The sequence below is a fragment of the Homo sapiens genome, chromosome 7 (genome assembly GCF_000001405.40).
Source record: "Homo sapiens chromosome 7, GRCh38.p14 Primary Assembly".
Lineage (NCBI taxonomy): Eukaryota > Metazoa > Chordata > Mammalia > Primates > Hominidae > Homo > Homo sapiens.
Genome location: NC_000007.14, coordinates 157853268 through 157872980, shown reverse-complemented (window position 1 = coordinate 157872980; position 19713 = coordinate 157853268). Strand labels below are relative to the sequence as shown.

Below are 19713 nucleotides of genomic sequence, written 5' to 3'. Positions count from 1 at the left end.
CAGACAGAAAAGTGTCCCAGGAAGAGGACAAGCACCACCTGGGAAATGAGTGCTCCCAGCAAGGGGAGGTGGCCTGCGGACATGGGTGGCCCTTGAAGGGGAGCTGTGGAGAGGCAGCAGCAGACAGGGCCCACACAGAAAGCACCCGTCACCCCTCTACCCCGCCAGGAAGCTGAGGAAACTCTCAGGAGCCCTGACAGGGCGGGGAGGGGACACTCCAAGGAGGGGCATGTGGACTGAGGGCCTCAGGGACTCTGCACCCTCCTTCTACCTCCTGCAAGATGGAGCCTGCCCCAGTTGGACAGGCGGCCTGGGCGCAAGAGCGCCTCTCAGTGCTTAGTTATACCGGGAAACCAAGGAGGCCACCAAGTGTCAGGACACAGTTACATGGGCATTGGGTAGGGGAAACAGCTGTGAGGACATAGCGTGGGAAGGCACTGGGTATCCATGTGTGCGGAGGCACTGGATATGCGTGTGTGGGGAGGACACTGGATATGCGTGTGTGGGGAGGACACTGGATATGCGTGTGTGGGGAGGACACTGGGTATGTGTGTGTGGGAAAGACACTGGGTATGTGTGTGGGGGGAGGACACTGGGTATGTGTGTGGGGGGAGGACACTGGGTATGTGTGTGGGGGGAGGACACTGGGTATGGGTGTGTGGGGAGGACACTGGGTATGCGTGTGTGGGGAGGACACTGGGTATGTGTGTGTGGGGAGGACACTGGATATGTGTGTGTGGGGAGGACACTGGGTATGTGTGTATGCGGAGGACACTGGGTATGGGTGTGTGGGGAGGCGCTGGGTATGTGTGTGTGGGGAGGCGCTGTGTATGTGTGTGTGGGGAGGACACTGGGTGTGTGTGGGGAGGCGCTGGGTATGTGTGTGTGGAGAAGCGCTGTGTATGTGTGTGTGGGGAGGACACTGGGTGTGTGTGGGGAGGCGCTGGGTATGTGTGTGTGGGGAGGACACTGGGTATGTGTGTGTGGGGAGGACACTGGGTATGTGTGTGTGGGGAAGCGCTGGGTATGTGTGTGGGAAAGTGCTGGGTATGCAGGTATGGGAAGGACGCTGGGTATTTGTGTGTGGGGAGGTGCTGGGTATGCGTGGCCACATCCTGTGTTCTGGAGCTGAGTGCACATGTGTAGACATGGGTGTGTGTGCATTTTTGTGGGTGTGTGGGTGTGTAGGTATTTAGGGGTCTGTGTGTGTGTGTGTATGTGTGCATATGTGTGGGAAGGCATATGTGTATGTATGTGTATATGTGTGTTAGGGAAATGTTAACCCTAAGACATTACTAGTTTATAATAGGAAAAAATCCCTCCAAAAATAATACTGTACCTCAAGCCTTTGTATTACAAAAAAAAATAAAAGGAGGAGGGTGAAGTTGTGCCAGTGAGTCCCGGTTGCTCTTCAGGGGCCCTGGGGTGGTGTCGGCCAATAGAGACAAATGCCATTGGCAAACACCTAGGGTGCCTCCTACATCACAGCTGCCGATGAACGCGACCTTGAGTCCAATTTAGAGGAAGCTTTTGGACTCTCACATCTTACAAGTTCTCTCAGAGGTCACGCCTGCCCTTTCCCATAAGCAGAACAACCCAAATCCCCCAGGCCCACAGTTCTCATATGTCAGCCTGCATCAGAATCACCTGCAGGGCTTGTAAACACACAGGTTGCTGGTTCACCCCAGAACCTCTGACTCAGGGGGTCCGAGGCAGGGCCCAAGGATCTGTGTTTCTAACAAGCTCCCTGGGTGCTGCCAGTCTGGGGACCCCACTTTGAGAACCACAGCTTTGAGCAACTGGGCCTCCCCAGCTGAGAAAAGAGGAAAGATTGGTGCCTAGTTCAGAACCGTCAACTTTGGAAGCTCTGGGAGCCAGCTTCTTCGTAAGGAAGTCCAGGCAGCCCTGAGGCCCCTACCCCAGCTGTGCAGCTCATGGCCTAGCGCCCCCAGCACCAGCACTGCAAGAGCCTTCAGGTCGGGGACATTTCAACATCTCTGAGCCAGGCCATCCAATCCCCAACATCGAACGCCCAATAAACCCAAAGCTATCTCCACTTCCAGAGTCTCACAGAAAGATCAACATCAAAGTACTTTAAGAAACAGATGACTGTGGTGTGCAGCCCCTTACGCAACCCAGGTGCTCTGGGGGATCAAGGTGGGGGTGCAGGTGCGGGAGGCTGGCACGAGGCCATGCAGCTCCTGGCCCCAGAGCAGGATTCCTGGCGGCTCACAGGCATTACTCTGAGTTCAGCCAGCACCCCAAGCAGCCATCAGGCTTGTTATGGAAGAGATTCTGAAGAAGGTCCATGGAAAATGTGGATCATGGAAAACTATGCATGGATTTCAAAAATCTTTCTGCACCAAAATAAACTCATACTAACTTGTTGTAACATGTCTGAACAGGATCTAGTTTAAGGCTAGGAAGAGAATATATCAGTTTGAAAAGAGCCCCTATCAGAGCAACATGAATTCTGCTAAAATTGAAGGAAGAACAAACATCAAAATTGTGGTGAAACATGGGTGGAACAATGATGAAGTCATTGATGCTTTATGAAAAGTTTATAGGGACAACACCCCAAAGAAATCAGCAGCTTTCAAATGGAGAACTCATTTTAAGAAAGAATGAGATGATATTGAAGATGAATCCTATAGTGGCAGACCCCCTCATCAATTTGCAAGGAAAAAATTAACCTTGTTTATATCCTAATTGGAGAGAACCAACAATTAACAGCAGAAACAGCAGCCAACACCATAGACATCTCGGCTGGTTCAGCTTACATAATTCTGGCTGGAAAATTAAAGTTGAGCAAACTTTCCACTCCATGGGTTCCAAAACCATTGCACCCAGATGAGCTGCAGCCAAGGGCAGAGCTTTCAATGGAAATTTTTAACAGCGGAATCAAGATCCTGAAGCATTTCCTTGAAGAATTGCAACAGGAGAGGAAACATGGCTTTACCAGTACCATCCTGATGACCAAGCACAACCACAGCAGTGGCTACCGAGAGGCGGAAGGGGTCCCATCGAAGCAACAGCAGACTGATCAAGAGCAAAGGTCATGGCAGTAGATGTTGGGATGCTCAAGGCATTTTGCATGTTGACTTTCTGGAGGGCCAGAGAAAAATAACATCTGCTTATTATGTGGGTGTTTTGAGAAAGTTATAAAAACTTTAGCAGAAAAATGCCTGGGAAAGCTTCACCAGAGAGCCCTTCTCCACCAGGACAAGGCTTCAGCTCACTCCTCTCATCAAACACGGGCAATTTAGCAAGAGTTCCGATGAGAACTCATGAGGCATCCCCCTACAGTCCTGGTTTGGCTCCTTCTCACTTCTTTTTGTTTTCCATTCTTAAAATATATCCAGAGGGTACCCATTTTTCCTTAGATAGTAATGGGAAAAAGACTGCATTGATGTGGCTAAATTCCCAAGGTCCTCAGTGCCTTGGGAATGGACTAAATGGTGGGTTTGATCCCTTGCAAAAGTGTCTTGGCCCTGGTGGAGATTATGTTGAGAAATAAAGTTTATATTTTTATTTTTACCTTTTAATCCAATTTTTCTGTGAACTTTTTGAAGTCCCCTTATATTTGTCTGCTAACTCAGGAAAAATGTAAACTTTTTCTTTACTTTGGCATTAAGTGTAACTCTGTCATCAAATGAAATTATCCCTAGGAATTTTATATGCATGGGGATAAGTGAGCGGCCTGGAGTCCACAGACCTCCCAGCAGGCCTCCAAGGCCCTACCCAGACCTCCCATGCTGGGAGGCTCTGCAAGTACCTAAGCACACGCTTAGGACCCTGGCAAAGTTGAGGTATCAGGAAAGATTTGTAGAAAGACCTTGATATTTTAATAAAGAAAACATCTTGTCATCCAGGGAAACATCAGAAATTTGACTTGCTCACACGCATTTTAAAACTTAGTACTTACAGATTTGGAATTACACGTGTCAGGGTGTTTCGGGACATTGGGAAGTCTTTATCCCACTGGCCTTTATGAATCTTCATCTGGTTCTACATGGAACTGAGTCCCCAAACGACTGTGGTGGCAGAAAGATGGAGGGCGCGGGAGGCCTGGCCTCACCACTGGTGCTAGGCAATGCTAAATGGGTTGTGTGACCCTCCTGGCCTTGAGTTCCCCAAGACTGAGGTGGCATCTCAGATGATCAAGCAGAATTTTCCATGTCGAGCATTTCCCAGTTACCAGCCACGCATGGCCCGGAGTGCACAGCCCAGAGGGAGCTCACAATACAATGAAGAACGACCGCTGTTGAGTGGATGGGCGAGTGGGCAGGTGGGTGAGGGAGGGAGTGAGCAAGGGAAGGCATAGCCCCTCATCTCGAGGGCTCAGAGTTATTTCCCCGGCCAGTCCTCAGGCTGGGAAATGGGCTGCACCTTTTTCTCCATGTGTCATACTTTCTTCCCTTTAAAAAATTTAACCAGTTCTTGGCATTGGTAGTTTTGCTAAATTAAACCAGGGAGGACCTGGAAGACAGCAGCGCAGCCCTGACACTCACAAGGCCAGTTTCCTCCAGGCATGGTTTTAATCCAGAGGCTGGGTCTGCTTTCCTACAGCTGGGCCATGAGCTGCTGCCCCGCAGAGATCCAATGTCCTGGTGTCCTACGTTCATCGTGGAGATGATGGAAACAAGCTCAGACAGGAAAACTCATCACTTGGCAAACTCCAGGCCTGGGGCTGCCTGCAGAGAGCCCTGTTCAGATGGGCTTGCCGAGTCCCAGCCCACCACCTCGATGGGAAGCAGTTGTAGGTGCACCACTGGGCTGTCGGAGCCATCGGGAAAGGAACCCTTCCTGTGCCTGGCCTTAGGATAACTGTGTCTGGACCCACAGCCCACACCCCACTCGTGAACTGTTTCGGGCCCTTTCTAAGGTGCATGTGGGCCTCTTGCCCAGGATGCGGGCTGGGTTCCTAGAGGACTCAGGTGATCCTACCTGCGGCAGTGAGTTAATCTCCAGGGCTCAGGAGGCCTGCTGTCCAGAGGAAGTCTGGGCAGCTTGGGCTGGCGCAGGCACGGTGCCCCCAGTCCTGCTCTTGTGGACTCTGGGGGCATGCTGGGCCTGGGCACACCTCCACCACGCCTGCGGCCCTTTGCTCACGGACTGTGGATTGGATCTGAGCAGTCTAGGGACCAGCTCCTCGGGCCCATGCAGAAAGGAAGAGAAGGAGTCTCCCTGGACTGGATTCTGGGAGGGACCCTCACTCTTTCTGCCTGAATGAACATTAGTGCGTGGACTTTTCCAGTCTTTCCATCTGTTCTGTTTTGAAGTTTATTCATGTTGATTTACGTGAATCTAGTTCACTCTTTTTGCCTCTGGTGTCACCCTTCAGTCTGGGCGGGGTGGTGGCCGTGTATCCAGGGCGTCAGGGACAGGGTGGTGGCCGTGTATCCAGGGCGTCAGGGACAGGGTGGTGGCCGTGTATCCAGAGCGTCAGGGGCGGGGTGGTGGCCGTGTATCCAGGTGGCCGTGTATCCAGGGCGTCAGGGACAGGGTGGTGGCCCTGTATCCAGAGCGTCAGGGGCGGGGTGGTGGCCGTGTATCCAGGTGGCCGTGTATCCAGGGCGTCAGGGACAGGGTGGTGGCCGTGTATCCAGGGCGTCAGGGGCGGGGTGGTGGCCGTGTATCCAGGGTGTCAGGGACAGGGTGGTGGCCGTGTATCCAGGGCGTCAGGGACGGGGTGGTGGCCGTGTATCCAGGGCGTCAGGGACGGGGTGGTGGCCGTGTATCCAGGGCGTCAGGGACGGGGTGGTGGCCGTGTATCCAGGGCGTCAGGGGCGGGGTGGTGGCCGTGTATCCAGGGCGTCAGGGGCGGGGTGGTGGCCGTGTATCCAGGGCGTCAGGGACGGGGTGGTGGCCGTGTATCCAGGGCGTCAGGGGCGGGGTGGTGGCCGTGTATCCAGGGCGTCAGGGGCGGGGTGGTGGCCGTGTATCCAGGTGGCCGTGTATCCAGGGCGTCAGGGACGGGGTGGTGGCCGTGTATCCAGGGCGTCGGGGACGGGGTGGTGGCCGTGTATCCAGGGCGTCGGGGGCGGGGTGGTGGCCGTGTATCCAGGGCGTCGGGGGCGGGGTGGTGGCCGTGTATCCAGGGCGTCGGGGGCGGGGTGGTGGCCGTGTATCCAGGGCGTCGGGGGGGGGCGGTGGTGGCCATGTATCCAGGGCGTCGGGGGCGGGGTAGTGGCCGTGTATCCAGGGCCTCAGGGGCGGGGTGGTGGCCGTGCATCTCGGGGCACAGGCACTGCTTCTGAGGAGACCCCAGGGTGTGTGTGGCAAGCACTGGGGCGAGCCTGGGACTCGGGCCAGACAGCCTCGGTGCAGACCCTGAGCTGGGCACTCATGCTGGGTGCCTGGGAGAATGCACACCAGCCTCAGCTCCACCTCTATGGACGTGTTTCCTGCAGACCTCATGGTTGTCATGGCAAGGGCTGAGAGGCACATGCGCTGTTTAGTAGGTCATGAGCACTGTGTGTATGTGTGTGTGTGTGTACACGAGGGATATGGGTGTGATCGTGCATGTTCGTGTGTGTACATATGGTCGTGTGTGTGCTCATGCATATGTATGTATGTGTGTACATGTGGACGTGTGTGTGCTCATGTGTATGTGTGTGCTTATATATGTATATAACTCTGCATATGCATGTGTGTGTATGTGTATTTGGATATGCACGTGTGTTTGTGTGAATATGCAATGTTGTTTCCTGCTCACTGACTCTTAATTGATGAAACAAATGCCCAGCAGGCCAGGATGGGATTTGAGCCCCGGCTCATGGTGGGGCCTAGAAAGTGACGACTACTTTCCCTTTGCAGAACCCGGGCCTCACTCAAGTGGTGTTTGTGTAGAAGGAAAAGAAACCACAAAGGTGCATTTGACTCCCATTTTCTCGCATCTGCTGAGAGCGTATTCATGCACAAAAGGGAAAGGTCCTTGTTCTAAAGCAGGAGAGTACACGTGGCTGTCAGAGGTTGCGCGGCAGCGGGGAAGGAGGCCGGGGAGCATCTGTCAGTTGCCGCAATGCAGGGGCGAGGTCACAGAACAGAGGGTGTGCTGGCTGCTGGGGAGGGTGTGGGGCTCTGGGGCCTTGACCCTGTTAACCGTCCACCCTGCCCTCCCGTCTGCTCCTCTGACAGCAGCTTCTGGAGGCCGGGCACTGTGGCCAGGCTGGCACAAGTAACATCAGGACCTGGGGCTGCAGCCCCAGGAGGGCCCATTCACCTGGCTGTGACCCACAGGCAAATACCGCACAAAACCCGTGGCCCGTCTTGCACACAGAGGCCACTGGAAACACAGATAAGGCTGTGTGAACTCATCTCTCCACTGTGAAGACAACACTGGGAAGACAGCAGATCCTCCTGGCACTCGCTGAGGGTCTCCACTGCCCTCCAGATGCCGAGCTCCCGCCTTCCTTCCCCCAACCCCCGACAGGCTCGGCACAGTCAGACCAGCTTTGCAGGGTCCGTCGTGGCCCCACGGTGAGGGTCCTGCTTGCGAGCTGAAGCTGAGATGGACGTGTGCATGCATGAGGATGAGCATCTCTGTGGTTTAGGTGAGGTGGGGTCACCCACCTCCAGGACCCCTGACTAATAATAGCGCTGAGATTCAAACTCAGGTAGCAGATCAGTTAGGATCACCCAAACAAGTGGACATGAACCAGTGGGATGTTCAGCAGAGCAGAAGCCGATTCCTCGTTCATCCCCTGGTGCAGGACTGCGGAATGCGTCAGCTGGGCAGTGCCAACCTGCAGCCCCTCAGGGGCCACCCCCACAGTGCCCGGCTCCCGTCTCACCTAGGGACCTCCATTTCCCGGCAGCAGCACTTGGGAAGGAGCCTGCGTGGGCCAGACCCAGGGAGTGCACCGCTCCTCTCCATTTCGGTGGCCAGAGTCAACCCCCCTGCCCACCCAGCCACACATGCACACACAGCCACGTGCCCAGGAGGGGAGTGCTTGGATTTGGGCCTATGTGGCACAGCCTTGGGCTGGACCTCAGAGACACAGGTCCTACCACGACCCCACACAGGTGCCTGCCAGCTGTGAGCCCTTGTGCAGGTTGGGGGTCAGGGAGGGCCTGAGATGGCGGCATTTTATGCGGGGGCAGAAACTGCAGGTTCAGGCACAGAGGAGGGGCTGTCACCTGCCAGAACATGCCTCCCTCGATGGTACCACCTTGGGGCCCAAACCTGGGTCTCAGACAAGCACTTTGTCCTGAGATACTGACGTCTATGAGCGTTTGAGGGAATACGTGCTCAAACCTGACCTCCTGCAGAGAGGATGGGGCAGCTGGTTCCTGGCCGCCAGGCTGCGTTTCAGCAGCTCACAGGTGCATACCACACACAGCCCCGCCGTGGCCAGTCACCGTGGGCCAGCCCCACATGGCAGCTTCCAGAGGCACCACAGGGTGGCGGCCCCAGACCTTGGAGAAAGTGGCACAGGCAATGTAAACCTTTGCGACCCCACCATCCTCTCAATCTCATCCCCAATGCCTCCCCTGGCCCCAACAGGACTTCCTCCTGTCGGCCTGGAAAACTAGAGCCCGGGAGGAACATCTGCCTAATACAGCCCATCCCCAGGTGTCAGCATCCGGGGCCCGTCCCCAGGTGGAGCCCGGGAGGAAACATCTGCCTGATACAGCCCGTCCCCAGGTGTCGGCATCTGGGGCCTCTGGATGGTGCCCAGTGAACCTCGGGTGGGCTGGACCCTGGATGGGGGGACCCAGTCACAGATCTGGATGGTGCCCAGTGAGCCTTAGGCCAGGCTGGACCCTGGATGGGGGGACGCACTCACACCCTGTGTGTGAACAGTCGCTTGGAAGGAGCAGCGATGCCGGGACTCAGCTTTTCTGCATCTTCAGAGCAGCTTTCAAATGCTTTTGGATCAAAACCACGTGGCCGGCAGAAATCGCACAATTAGCTTCGACATAGCCGTGGCTTCGGGCAGGGTGGTCCTGGCCAGAATCACACATGCAGAGAGCGTTTTTGGAGCCTGTACTGTCTGCTCAGGCTGCCGAGGCAAAGTCCCACAGACAGGGCAGCTTAAATGATGGAAGTTTCTTTTCACACGGCTCTGGAGGCTGGAAGTCCGAGGTCGAGGCGTGGGCAGAGCCCGTTTCTCCTGAGGCCACTCCCCCGCCTGGTAGATGCCATCTTCATCTTCAGGTGTCTCCACACGTGCACGTCTGTCTCTGTGTCCAGATATCCCTTTCTGATAAGGATACCGGTCCTGCTGGGTCAGGGTCGCCATAAGAGCTTGTTTTACCTTCATCGCCTCTGTAAAGCCCCTGTCTCCAAGACGCCACACGCTGAGGTCCTGGGGGTCAAGGCTGCCACATGAACTTGGGGGCGCATTCAGCCCATCACAGGGCCAGTGAACCACGCTGCAGTTTTTAAAGAATTATATTTATATCTCAAAGTTTTGAATTACTTTTAATTTTTTTCTTTTGAAAACCAGTTGGTGGTATAAGGTTTCTTGGGCACAAGTCTGGCCCAGCCAGGTGTTCAGCATCAACTGTGACTTCACACCCCGAGCTAGTAGCATGGGCCAGGATTGACCCTGGCAGAGGTCTCTGAGACGCGTCGCCGCCCAGGCAAGCTGGGAAGGAGGGGAAGACCTCGTCTCCACTCTGCACTGGGGCATTGGGCAGCCCACTGGCTCCGTGAGACCTGTAAAAGCAAAGGTTTTGTGGCACAGCAGGCCGAGAGGGTGCCGTGTGCTACCCTCCTGCAGACGTACATCAGCCACGTAAGGCAGAAAAATCCTGTCCAAAAGTCTGACAGATTACAGCGGAACCTTCTCAAGGCTCCCAGACCACACAGCCTACTTCTCCTGTAAGACTGATCAGAGCGCTTGGAGAATGCTGGTCCATGCAAAACTGAATCCCCAGGTGTGTCCAGGGCCCCAGAGCCGGAGCACAGGAGGCACTGGCTTGGCTGCCGTCCTTTCTTGTAACTGCCCACCAAGTGCCGCCTGACGTGAATCCCAGCCTCCTCGCGGTGCCGTCCGAGCTCTGGGCTTTGTGTGTGTCATGTCCAAGTTGACAAGTGGCTGTGCTGTGAGCGTCACTGTCCTCCTCCCCCTCATCTTTCAGGAAACTGCTGTGACTTTAAAGCCGGTCCTCGCCGCTTCCCGCACACCTCGCCGCTTCCCGCGCACCTCGCCGCTTCCCGCACACCACCAGGCTTGTGCTTCCCGGAGCTGGGTCTGTGCACGTGGCATCCGTGCCTCTAAAGGCGTTGCAGGCCGGTAAGAGGCCCTGCTATTTTCCATTCATCCCATAAGCGTTTTTAAATCTCAGGGACTGTGCTCAGCACTGGAAATAATTTCTAGAACATGATTCTTGACCAGCCAAGCCTGCACCGGTGGTTCCACTCTCAAGGCATTTTAAAGCAAGGTAACAAATGTATGTTGACCAGCTGGGCACCCATTTCTGTTCTAAAAAGAGAGATGAATATCAATGTTAAAAAGTCATGGATCCTGACCCCAGTTAGTAAATAATCTAGTGGAGAAATACAATAAATGCACAACAATTAAATAAGCCGGTGGTGTACAGCAAATTAGCACACGTGTGAAATAAGCAAGACATTCTGTGTTCAGAAGGGAATCCCCTAGCCGTGGGCTCAAGTCTGTCAGGGAACTTCCTAACAGAGGGCACATGAGCTAATGCTATAGGCTGAACTGTCTCCGCAGAAAGATATGTTGAAGTCCTGGACCTCGGCAGCTCAGAATGGGACCTTCCGTGGACATAGGACTGTTGCAGACACAGTTCGCTTGGTGAAGGAGGCACCGTGCTGCAGTAGGTCCTTGATGCGGCCATGTCCCTGCGACAGGAAGGACAAACTCCAGCACACAGAGTCCTCGAAGCAGCAGTGTCCCTGTGATGGGGAGGACAGACTCCGGCACACAGAGTCCTCGAAGCAGCAGTGTCCCTGTGATGGGGAGGACAGACTCCGGCACACAGAGTCCTCGAAGCAGCAGTGTCCCTGTGATGGGGAGGACAGACTCCGGCACACAGAGTCCTCGAAGCAGCAGTGTCCCTGTGATGGGGAGGACAGACTCCGGCACACAGAGTCCTCGAAGCAGCAGTGTCCCTGTGATGGGGAGGACAGACTCCGGCACACAGAGTCCTCGAAGCATCCGTGTCCCTGCGACGGAGAGGACAGACTCCGGCATGCAGAGGGAAGCCGTCTGCGTGGCTCGGAGGCAGGAGGGAAGCGCTGTGTCTGTGGGCCGAGGGCTGCTGGCAACGCAGAGGCTGGGAGTCAGGAAGGGTCGGTGTCCCCTTCAAGGCCCTGCAGACACCTCCAAGCAAGGTCTCCAAACCCAGCCTGTGAGACTGCAGGCATCCACTGTTTCAAGCCCATCCGTCTGGAGTCCTTTGTTCTGGCAGCCCCAAAAGCCTCACACAGCTCGGCTTTGAGTACAGGGAGCGTGTCTGCAGGTAAGGTGGGGAGGCCACACAGAGGCACAGCGGCTGGGCCCTGCAAGACTCAGGGAGGGCGGGCCAGCATGTCCGAGGGCAGGAGGCAGATGCCACAGGGCATCACCAGCTGCATGTTGCACCTCGACGGCAAAACACAGAAGCCACTGCCCACCGCAGGGAGCGCAGACTGAAGGGACCCGGGCTCCTTGGCCGAGCTCCAGCCGGAGGTGCTTCCGGTGCAATCCAGGCCTCTCATCCTCCCACGGATTCCCCACAGAGGGCTTCGGTTCCATTATTGTATAGACTTCACGTATGTAAAAGGTACAGGAATTCAGCATTTGGACCCCGTGGGGCAGTGTCACCATGGAGCACGCACAGGGTGCCTCCCTGAGCTGGCACATCCCTGGAGGCATGCGTGCCTCTGCCGACATCCCAAAGCGCCCGTGCTGGGGTCCCACATGGTGTCCGCTGTGCCGTGGGGTTCCTCTTCCAACCCCCACAAGAAAGAGAAGGTCACCCTGCCCCCCACCTCTCCACAGCTCCCTGGACTGGGCCACATTTCTTTATCCTCTTCTTGGTTTTTAATTAACTTTGGGCCAGCCCATCTGTGCCTGTTCTGGACTCCAGTTTTGACAGCTACTGACTGAATTGCCTGGTCAGTTCCGTGAAAAACTAGAAATAGAAATGCACCCGGCCAGCTGCTGCCTGAGCTGACCAGCCCCGGCCGTCAGTGGCCTTCCCTGGTTGGACGGACCGTGAATGCTGCCAGTTCTGTTTCATTTTAACTATGTGTATTTGTATAAATATAAGAAACTGTCTGCTCTCTACCCACAGAGTAATTGTCTAGCTCTATCATCTAATTATCTCAACACGTTTAGTGAGCGAGATATTAAGGCCCAGATTAGATATTAAAAGGCATCGTTAAAGAACAGAAATGAGATTTGCATGGAGTGGTATCTAGTTCCAGCGTGGAAACGCGTTCACACAGCACTCAATTAGATATGTGGACTCAGCTCTGAAACGTTCCTATAGGAGAACAAAGATGAAAATTCATTACTACCTCCAAATACTGCCAACTCCGCCATTTCTTTTAAAACTGCAGTCTTGGGAAGCTCCAAGAGTGTTCGATAATAACCAAGACGTGGATCCTGTGTGTGAAAAGTGGCCCAGCTCCTGGAGAGGCGCGAAGGCTGTGGGTGGACTGTGGGGTGGGCTGCTTCTCTGGGGTCACGTGGACATCCCTAGAGAGAGTCTTGGCTTGGGCACCACCCTCAGGTGTGTGTCCTCAGGTGGCCTGACTGCAGTGACCTCTGAAATCCAGGGTATGCAGAGATCGCAGGCTGTGGGCCCTGCCACCACAGGCTGGGGCCTCAGGGAATTGGGTCTGGGTCGTTGCAAGTCTCGAGGCTCCCCCAGTGGGCTGCTGCTCCATAGCAGGCTGTCCCCACTCTGCTCCACAGGAATCACGAAGCCGCATGCTGTCTCTGGGGTCTGTGCTGCAGAGCTGGGGGCTCTCCCTGCAGGAGTGTGTACAGTGGCTGGGGCTCTCCCTGCAGGAGTGTGGGTGGTGGCCGGGGCTCTCCCTGCAGGAGTGTGTACAGTGGCTGGGGGGCTCTCCCTGCAGGAGTGTGGGTGGTGGCTGGGAGGCTCTCCCTGCAGGAGTGTGTACAGTGGCTGGGGCTCTCCCTGCAGGAGTGTGTACAGTAGCTGGGGCTCTCCCTGCAGGAGTGTGGGTGGTGGCTGGGGGACTCTCCCTGCAGGAGTGTGGGTGGTGGCTGGGGGGCTCTCCCTGCAGGAGTGTGGGTGGTGGCCGGGGCTCTCCCTACAGGAGTGTGGGTGGTGACGGGGCTCTCCCTGCAGGAGTGTGGGTGGTGGCTGGGAGGCTCTCCCTGCAGGAGTGTGGGTGGTGACGGGGCTCTCCCTGCAGGAGTGTGGGTGGTGGCTGGGGGGCTCTCCCTGCAGGAGTGTGGGTGGTGGCTGGGAGGCTCTCCCTGCAGGAGTGTGGGTGGTGGCTGGGGGGCTCTCCCTGCAGGAGTGTGGGTGGTAGCTGGGGGGCTCTCCCTGCAGGAGTGTGGGTGGTAGCTGGGGGGCTCTCCCTGCAGGAGTGTGGGTGGTGGCTGGGAGGCTCTCCCTGCAGGAGTGTGGGTGGTGACGGGGCTCTCCCTGCAGGAGTGTGGGTGGTAGCTGGGGGGCTCTCCCTGCAGGAGTGTGGGTGGTGGCCGGGGCTCTCCCTGCAGGAGTGTGTACAGTGGCTGGGGGGCTCTCCCTGCAGGAGTGTGGGTGGTGGCTGGGAGGCTCTCCCTGCAGGAGTGTGTACAGTGGCTGGGGCTCTCCCTGCAGGAGTGTGTACAGTAGCTGGGGCTCTCCCTGCAGGAGTGTGGGTGGTGGCTGGGGGACTCTCCCTGCAGGAGTGTGGGTGGTGGCCGGGGCTCTCCCTACAGGAGTGTGGGTGGTGACGGGGCTCTCCCTGCAGGAGTGTGGGTGGTGGCTGGGAGGCTCTCCCTGCAGGAGTGTGGGTGGTGGCTGGGAGGCTCTCCCTGCAGGAGTGTGGGTGGTGACGGGGCTCTCCCTGCAGGAGTGTGGGTGGTGGCTGGGAGGCTCTCCCTGCAGGAGTGTGGGTGGTGACGGGGTTCTCCCTGCAGGAGTGTGGGTGGTAGCTGGGGGGCTCTCCCTGCAGGAGTGTGGGTGGTAGCTGGGGGGCTCTCCCTGCAGGAGTGTGGGTGGTGACGGGGCTCTCCCTGCAGGAGTGTGGGTGGTAGCTGGGGGGCTCTCCCTGCAGGAGTGTGGGTGGTGGCTGGGAGGCTCTCCCTGCAGGAGTGTGGGTGGTGACGGGGCTCTCCCTGCAGGAGTGTGGGTGGTAGCTGGGGGGCTCTCCCTGCAGGAGTGTGGGTGGTAGCTGGGGGGCTCTCCCTGCAGGAGTGTGGGTGGTAGCTGGGGGGCTCTCCCTGCAGGAGTGTGGGTGGTGGCTGGGAGGCTCTCCCTGCAGGAGTGTGGGTGGTGACGGGGCTCTCCCTGCAGGAGTGTGGGTGGTAGCTGGGGGGCTCTCCCTGCAGGAGTGTGGGTGGTGGCCGGGGCTCTCCCTGCAGGAGTGTGTACAGTGGCTGGGGGGCTCTCCCTGCAGGAGTGTGGGTGGTGGCTGGGAGGCTCTCCCTGCAGGAGTGTGTACAGTGGCTGGGGCTCTCCCTGCAGGAGTGTGTACAGTAGCTGGGGCTCTCCCTGCAGGAGTGTGGGTGGTGGCTGGGGGACTCTCCCTGCAGGAGTGTGGGTGGTGGCCGGGGCTCTCCCTACAGGAGTGTGGGTGGTGACGGGGCTCTCCCTGCAGGAGTGTGGGTGGTGGCTGGGAGGCTCTCCCTGCAGGAGTGTGGGTGGTGGCTGGGAGGCTCTCCCTGCAGGAGTGTGGGTGGTGACGGGGCTCTCCCTGCAGGAGTGTGGGTGGTGGCTGGGAGGCTCTCCCTGCAGGAGTGTGGGTGGTGACGGGGTTCTCCCTGCAGGAGTGTGGGTGGTAGCTGGGGGGCTGACTCAGAGAACCAGCAAAGGCCGTGTTTCTTTTCAGGCCCCCCGACAAAGGGCTCCCTTCCCTCACAAGGCTTTCTCATACCCGCCGTCTTTGAGTACGTGTCTGTTCCTGATCTGAGCCACTGGGGCCAGGCCTGCTGTGTGGGCACACGTGCTCCTGGCAGACACTCCTGCTTTGTGATTCCACCCCCAACCTCGGGATGGAGGTCAGGACCACGCCTGCTCACATCTGTTTCTCAAACGTCTAGTGCGGGCGCTTGCACGAAGAGGTGCTGAGACGTGCCTCACAGGATGTGGAGGATGACCAGTTATGGACGGACACGTGGCGCGTCAGGGAAGGCTCCGGAAACTTTGCTGTGTGAACTTTTCTACTCAGGGCACGGACCTCAGAGCTGGATCTGGTTGTCATCCCAGATGAGGAAACAGGTCAGGCGGATGATGCAGAAGGAGCTGTGACTCCCCGGTGGCCACTGGTGGGTGTAGGAGCCTCACCTGGCATGAGTAGGAGCAGCCACAGGCTGTGGGGCGGGCACCCTCTAAACAGAGCCCTGCAGAAGGGGCTCCTCCATCACGCGCCGAGCCTGCCACACAGAGGAGAGGACGCTCCGGAGAGAGAGGAGCGCAGAGCCTGTGCAGATCTGCCATCTCCTCCTCCCTAGGGGATGCTCCTGGCCCTTGTGTGGGTGAACGGGTGCCGTGATGTGGCCATGAGGCGCACGGACCTCTGGACTCAACGTGGCCTCTCCATAGGCTTGAGGGAAAACAGGAACGGTGAAATCAACTCTCCGCCCCACACGGGCCCAGCTTCAGTGTTGGGCACAGCAGAGCCCCAGCTTCCTCCTGCAGCATCCCCCTCCCTCCCCTTCCAGCGTCCCCCTCCCTCCCCATCCAGCGTTCCCCTCCCTCCCCCTCCAGCATCCCCAGCTCCACCAGCAATGCCGATGGCCATGCCCTCGTGCTGTGGCCCCGGCTGTGACTCCCACTCATGGCGCCCAAGCTGATGGCACTGCAGCTTTGCAAACCTGGCCACCTCCCTTGTCAGCAATGCTTGGAAGATAAATAGAAGATGCTGCTAAAAATTTGGAGAAAAATTTGAGAATAAATCATGAGCCGTGGAAGTCTGCTACACAGTTGGGTGAATGTACAGGTTGTTCAAACCTTTCTTGGTGTACACTCATTGCTAAGCAATACTTAACAGGTCAAAAAAAGTTTTAAAAATTGGAATAACTATGGATGAAGTGACCACTTTGACTGACAGACATACGAAAAAGATTCTGGGTGAGGTGAGGGAACCAGCAGGTCATATGAAATCCACCCCACACATCATTGCAGCACAGCAAGGACCTGAAGCTCAGTGTGCAAGAAGTGAATTTTGTATGTTTAATGTATTTTGTCACTTTATCCATTTTATAAAAATGAGACCTTTGCACTACTGTGAGTTAACCTTTGTGATACATTTTGTAATAAAGCCAGGAGAAACCAGTAGAACTGTGTGCCACACACGGCTTGCTGGTTGTCTGCGGCAAACTCATGTAAGAGGGTTGAAGGCTGAGCCTCGGAGGCACCGGCCTGTGGTGGGAACGGGACGCCCCAGCAAACACTCCCCAGTAAAATAAACCTTCAGTGTAAAATAGACATCTGAGCTGTGTGTGAGAAAATGTGTGTGCTTGAAAAGCGAAAACAAAAAACAGCCAGCTGTGGCACATTTTGAAAATGAATATTTGGAAATAGTTTCATTGCCGTGTGAAATGTTTCAGACAACTGGGTCTCCTATAAAGTCATCCACAGTCACGACTCTAAAAAGCATGGAAATGACATTTTCTAACCCACTTCACATCTTTCCAAATGAAATGTTTCCATGGGTTGAACATATACTGAAATTATTATCATAAAAATCCAAGACATCCCACCGTGTTAAAAATGGTGCCGAGAATCAGGCAGGGAGGACAAGGCCTTTGCAGAGCTGGTGAGCAGGACCGGGACGGAGACTCCACGGTTAAGCAGCACAGCTGACTTCCTCCACCCGGTCCGCCGTGTGGGGCAGCTTTTCAGCTGCAGGAGCCTTAAATCAAGTACTGAGATAACCCTGCACTTCCGGCCAGGCCTCCAGTGACCTGTAGGGCAAAATATCAACTCAGTATCAGAAAAAATGATGGTGCCGTGCAGTTGGGTGGCTGTCCCTGAAATAATCACCAGAGTACTTTTAGAGAGAGGAAAGTTCATTAAATCATAGAGGGCGTTAGTTTTTAGATGTTCATTTCATCTTTTCCTCATCCTCTAAAAGTGACTTTGTATCGCCGCCCCCCTGGGCCCAATCAGTGGCTTTCCTGGCTCCGGCTCTCCCTCGGCTCAGCCACAGGCATCCCTCAGCTCTAACGCTCCCGCCGGGATGTGCTCTATGCAGTGAGGGCTATTCCTGACATCCCCCCTTCCAGGGAAGCCCCATCACTACATCACAGCAGGCCGCATCCAGATTATCCTAATTAGAGAATTACTTGTATCAAGTGAATCCCCAAACCACTGTCCAGGGTCGCTGTAGGAGGGACCCTGCTGGCCTTGAGCTCCCCAAGAAGCGGCACCACTCAGCGTTTAGCTTCAAAAGGTCCCCAGAGGTTTCGTGCTCCATGGGTTTGTTTGTTGTTTGGAAACTGTTGTTAAAATAATCGTTATTAGGTGACCCCAGGAAACTTGTTGCTCAGGTGTTTGAGTCTGTCACTTAAGAGGCCGAGCTCGAGAAGCCGGCGCGTGGGTTGGGGCCGCTCCCTGGGCGTCCGCAGAGCACGAGAGTCAGCAAGCCCCGCACACACGCCTGCAATGGTGCAGCCATCCTCCCCGATCCGGCCCCACACACACCCCTGCAATGGTGCAGCCATCCTCCCCGATCCGGCCCCGCACACACCCCTGCAACCGTGCAGCCATCCTCCCCGATCCGGCCCCACACACATCCCTGCAACGGCACAGCCATCCTCCCCGATCCAGCCCCACACACACCCCTGCAACAGCAAAGCCAGCCTCCCTGATCCAGCCCCACACACACCCCTGCAATGGTGCAGCCATCCTCCCCGATCCAGCCCCACACACACCCCTACAACGGCACAGCCATCCTCCCCGATCCAGCCCCACACACATCCCTGCAACAGCACAGCCAGCCTCCCCGATGCATACCTTTCTCAGGGCCTCAGCAGCCCCCAAGGCCCCGAGGGACATGGCAGCCTGCTCTGTGAAACGTCCTGTCTGTTCTGCATTGTCCTGGGCCTCCTCCCAGCCCTTCCCACAACGCCCAGGCCAGCTCCAACAGAGGGGAAGTTGGCCTTCACCATCCAGCGAGGCAGGGTCCTGGGGTCGGGCATCTTTGAGCCAGGGGCTGGGGCAGTCCTGACAGCTCCACCTGCTCATGCCATGCCTTGCAGCCTCCCTGCCCGTCCGATCGCCTGAGTCAGGCGTGGTCCTGGCCTCTCTTGCCCCATTTGTTTTTTCAAAAACCTGCAAGCGGAATGCTGCTGCTTCCGTCTTCATAGGCACAGAGCCGGATTTAAGAAGAGGAACTGTCTTCATTTTGCTCAACCACAAGGGCAGTGACCTTGGGTTCAACCCTGGGCCTCTCTGACTGCTTTCCTGGCCACGGCTGCTCTTTGGCCCCATGAGGAGCCACGTGGACGTGGGTGTGCCGATTGCACAGCTGGAGAGACGTGGGCAGACAGGCTGGGACTGAAGGTTTGTCCCAGAGCTGAGGGTGGGGCAGAGGCAGCCACGGTATCCAGGCTTCTGAGCCCAGCCCTTGCCTTCATGTCGGGGGATGACAGTCTCGCCATCAGCAGCACCCAATGTAGGCCCTGTCCAGGGAGTCAGTGCTGCATCGTCAGTGATGGGAGAGGGAGGCGGAGGCAGGGAAATGCACAGAGCCAGTGGCCTTGGCTGCTGTGACAGCATAGCAGACGGGGCGGCGCAAACCGCAGATTCATCGCCCACCACTCACAGGCTGGGAGTCCAGGGTCAATGTGTGGGCAGGGCTGGTTTCTTCTGAGGCCCTCGGAGAAGAATCTGTCCCAGATCTCTCTCCTCGGCTTGTGGGTGCCGTCTCCGTCTTCACGCGGTGTTCCCTGTGGCTGCCCCGTGTCCGCATCTCCGCCTTTGATAAGGACCCCCGTCTTGTTGGATTAGGGCCCGCCCTAATGACCTCATTGAAACTTAGCCAGTTACCTCCACAAAGACCCTATTCCCCGATAAGGTCACGTCCACAGGTACTGGGCTTAGGGCTTGGCATGCGAATTTGGGGAACTCAATTCATCCCAAAACACGGGGAGTATCTCCCTCAGACCTACGGGCAGTGGGGCGTGGAGCATCTCCGCACGTGTGGCTCGGTTATTCTACATGATGCACCAGTTCCGCCGTGGAGGAGGCTCCTCGGACAGTTCCCTTCCTGAGCGCTCAGCTCTTGTCTGCTCCAAGGTCAGGCCCTGAGAAAGTGCCCCAAGACCGTGGGCCTGGGAGAAAGGGTCACGGGGCTTGTGCTGGATTTTGGGACTTTTCTCTTCAGCCTGTACACAAAGGTTACACACAAAGAAGACGGCAAAGGGAGGTGGGGGGGTGGGGAGAGGGCCAGACAGAGGCAAACATGGTTCTCCAGGGTTTAAAGTGGGCACGGTGCGGGATGCTTCCTCCCTGGCTGGAGAGGATCCTTACCTCCAGTGGCTCTGCGGGCCGTGCCTGTTGAGAAGAAGGCTCTGAAGTTACCCCATGCCACAGGCCTTTCCGTTGCAGGCCCGGCTCGGC

General features: G+C 56.7%; 1 protein-coding gene and 1 long non-coding RNA gene across 11 annotated transcripts in view; one reads left to right on the top strand and one right to left on the bottom strand.

Annotated features, from left to right (window-relative positions):
* PTPRN2 (protein tyrosine phosphatase receptor type N2) overlaps positions 1-19713 on the top strand; it is a 1048768-nt gene that overhangs the window by 714843 nt on the left and 314212 nt on the right. The gene's annotated exons all lie outside the window — the stretch shown is intronic.
* Positions 6889-18396, bottom strand: PTPRN2-AS1 (PTPRN2 antisense RNA 1). The gene is made up of 4 exons (NR_038966.1): positions 18106-18396; positions 16851-17054; positions 15433-15691; positions 6889-10436 (listed from the first exon to the last, which is right to left on the bottom strand). It is a non-coding gene; the product is annotated as a PTPRN2 antisense RNA 1 (long non-coding RNA).